A 4,242-nucleotide genomic window follows, 5' to 3' on the forward strand; every position below is an offset into this window, starting at 1 on the left:
AGATGGAGATAGGGTGGGAGGCAGCTAGGTTGAGGGACAGTACATTGAGATTATCTAGTGAGCCTCTGAAAACAGGTGTAAGTTGTGGAAGTTAATGAAGTTACCAACAAGAAGTAACCTAACTGAAAAAGAAATTTTAAACATCCCATTTATGATAGCATCAAAAACTAAATTTAACCAAGGAGGTAAAAGGTCTGGACACTGAAAACGATATAACATGAATGAAAGAAATTGAAGAAGACACAAATACATGGAAAAATAAATTCAAAAAATCAATGTGATTAAAATGTCTATACTACCCAAAGCAATATGGAGAGTCAATGCAATCCCTATCAAAACCCCAATGGCATTCTTCACAGAAATAGAAAAACCTATCCTAAAATTCATATGGAACCACAGAAGACCCCAAATAGCCAAAACAGTTCTAAGAAAGAAAAACCAAATTGGAGACATCACATTTCCTCACTTAAAATTATATTACAAAACTATTATCATCGAATAGTTCGGTACTGGTATAAAAACACACACAACAGGCCAGTGGAACAGAATGAAAAGCCTAGAAATAAATCCAAACATATAGGATCAACTAATTTTTCACAAGGGACATATGGGGACACAATGAGGAAAGAGTAGTCTGTCCAATAAATGGTGTTGAGAAAACTGAATATTTGTGTGCAAAAGAATGAAATGGAATTCTTTTCTTACACAAGGCAGAAAAATCAACTCCAAATGGATTAAAAATTCTTAACATAAGACCAAAAACTATAAAACTCCTAGAAAAGATGGGAAATCTTTCTGGACATTAGGTCTTGGCAAGGATGTTTTTGGTTATCACACCAGAAGCTCAAGTCACAAAAGCAAAAATGAATACATAGTACTACATCAAACTAAAAAGAACTGTTTCCTGCAGAGCAAAGGAAACAATCAACAAAATGAAACAGCAACCAACAGACCCGGAAAAAAATATTTGCAAACCGTATATCTGATCAGGGATTAATATCCAAAATATATAAAGAACTCATACAACTCAATAGTGGAAACACAAATAACCTAATTTTTAAAATAGGCAAAACACCTGAATAGACATTTCTCCAAAGAATACATAGAAATCACCAACAGGCATAGGAAACGTGCTCCACATCATTAATCATCAAGGAAGTGCAAATCAAAACCACTGTGCGATATCACCTACACCCTTTAGGATGGCTATTACCAGAGACAAGTGATAAATGTTTGCAGAGTGTGGAGAAAAGAGAATTCTTGTACACTGTTGGTAGGAATGTAGATTGGAAGAGCCATTCTGGAAAACAAAATGGAGCTTCCTTAAATAAATGAAAAATAGAACTACCATAAGACCCAGCAACCCTCTTCTGGGTATATATCCAACAGAGAGGAAATGGCTACCTTATAAAAATATTGGCACTCCCATGTGCACTGCAGCATTATTTACAGTAGCCAAGGTATGGAAACCACCTAAGTGTCCATTGACAGACAAATGGATGAAGAAATTCCTCGATGAGATTGGAGATTATTATTCTAAGTGAAGTAACTCAGGAACAGAAAACCAAACATCGTGTGTTCCCACTGACATACGGAAGCTAAGCTATGAGGATGCAAAGGCATAAGAATGACACAACGGACTTTGAGGACTTAGGGGGAAGGCTGGGAGGAGGATGAGGGATAAAGGACTACAAATATGGTGCAGTGTATACTGCTCAGGTGATGGGTGCGCCAAAATCTCACAAATCACCACAAAAGAACCTACTCATGTAACCAAATATCACCTGTTCCCCAATACCTTATGGAAAAATAAAATAATAAACTAAAATAAATAATGTCACATATGTACAACAGAATGTTATTTGGACCTCATAAAGAATGAGATCATCCCATATGCCACAACATCGATGAGGCTAGAGGACATTATGCTAAGTGGAATAAACCAGACACAGTAAGAAAAATATTGCATGATCTCACTCATATGTGGAATCTAAAAAGAAAAATTCAAATGGAGATAGAAAATAAAGCAGGGTTCTGGGGAGATGCAAGTTGGAGGACACAACGTAGCCCACATGCAAGATGAACACCTCTAGAGATTTCAGGCACGAAATGAGGACACTAAGGGCCCTGACCACCCTGGAGTAAGAGCTGACACTACTGCCTTCCCCTGCCTCGGGGGATCATCACCAGCCACCCAGTGGGTGAAGAGGAACAGTAAGAAAGAAGCCATGGGGCTTCCCGCAATAGCTCGGTGTGGTAGAGTCTATCTAAATGCAGAATACTTTGATGGAGGTTACTGGCTGGGTCACTGCCACTGAGTCTCTATCAGGAGCTGGGACAGGGTGGCTCCCATGCCTGGTTCCACAGCCAGAGACCTTGCTGAGTGACATGCAGATTTGAGGGACATGGCTCATCTTCCTGCCTGCTACTCTCTAGGGCTCACTGATGAATTTCTAGTGACAGTGTGTTCTAGAAGTTAGCTCTAACTATAAAACATTTTTTCAGGTCTTCCACTTTCTGAACAATCTGATCCTAAAGCCACTGTGTGTATCCAAACAAGGGGGATATCCGCACCGATGGAAGGGACCACAGAGGAACATAGTGAGCAAGGATGGGATTGGGGGAGGTTTGCAAGAGCCCGAGCTGGGCATTGGTAGGGGACGGTGGCGGTCCACATGGCTGGGTCATGGTGTCAGAGCCCCAGTGCAATGAGGACCGGGCTCCTGCAGGAGTAGGACCATGGGACTTTCAGCCTGAGTAGGGTAGAGAGAGTGTCCAAGCAGGGGAAGGGACTGAATGGAAGGGTGGCAGGCACCCAGAAAAATGAATGGGGTTTAAGGGGGAAGCAGCTGGAGCAAAGTGTGCCTCTGGGCAGGGCAAGGAGGGCTTCGGTGTAGGAAGGGAGGAAAAGGGGCTTTCATGTGGGCGGATGGTCCAGACAGGAATGGCACAGCATTACTGGGCAGGGAGGATGCTGGCCTGGGATGCAGGCCAGTGCCTGGCCTCAGAGATCATACAGAATTTGGAATCGGACTGTGCAGGGGGAGGTGGCAATGCTGATAGAAAATGGCAGGGGTGGCACAGGGTGTGAATGAGAGTCACAAATATACAAAGGAAGAAAGTGGGGTGGACTCTGAGGTGCTTGAGTGAACTGAAGATATTAGCACCAACTCATGGCTTTCCATATAGACAGAGCTAGAGACAAACATAGACATAAACATCTGTGTGTGTGTGTGTGTGTGTGTGTGTGTGTGTGTGTCTATATGCATATGCTGTCCAGCTCTGTGCACTGAGGTACACCCAGATCATGGTATCTAAAGCCCATTCTCCTCTTGGGATTCAGCTCTTTTTGGAGAACCAGCTGACCCATGATCCAGAGCAGGCAGGGTCCACAATGACTCAGAAACATCTTGAGGACCTGCTCAGAGAATGACAACACACGGGCCAGTGGGAACAGCTTCCAAACCCCAGCAAAGGTGAACAGTAAGATAAGTAATGATAATTCCAGGTTATAATCCAATAAATAAGATAGAAAACTACACATCCATACTGACATAAATACAACATAAATGAATAAATTAAACGTTGAATGAAGAGCAGAGTATTTACACAGTTTTAAGCTAGTCCTCCATGTAATACTAATTAATTACAAAGGAAGAAAGGAGTGAAGAAACCACAGACACCACCTCCATCAGGTCACCAGTGTGAACATCGTCAGTAACCGGGCAAATTGCAGTCCTGCCGACCTGAGAGCACGGAGTGAGGCGGTCCCAGGGTCGCTCCTGGGTTCTCCTGCCAAGGACGCTAAACCTGAATCTGCTCATGAGGAAGCATCAGGCAGCCCCGTGCTGGGGGAAATCCTGCAATGTAACTGGCCTAGAGCCATTAGAGTGTCAAGGCCACGAAAGTCACAGAAAGACTGAGGAACTTTTCCAGGTGAATGGAGCCTAATAAAACACAACAGCCAAATGCAGCATGTAGCTCTGAGATGGTTCCTTTTGTTTTTAAGGATGTCTGGGGGCAAATATGAACAGGGTCTGAGAATTAGGCATTAGGAATATATCAACGTTGATTATCTGATTCTGTTAACTCTACTGTGGTTGTGTAGGAGCATATTTGTGTTGGTACAAAATACACACTAAAGTATTCGTATTCAGGGATGACAAGATATCATGCAGGCAACTTACTCTCAAAAGGTCCAGCAAAAAAAAAATTATTTCTGTTGTCCTTGCAACTATTTTG

This window comes from Homo sapiens, chromosome 13 (assembly GCF_000001405.40).
Source record: "Homo sapiens chromosome 13, GRCh38.p14 Primary Assembly".
Classification (NCBI taxonomy): Eukaryota; Metazoa; Chordata; class Mammalia; order Primates; family Hominidae; genus Homo; species Homo sapiens.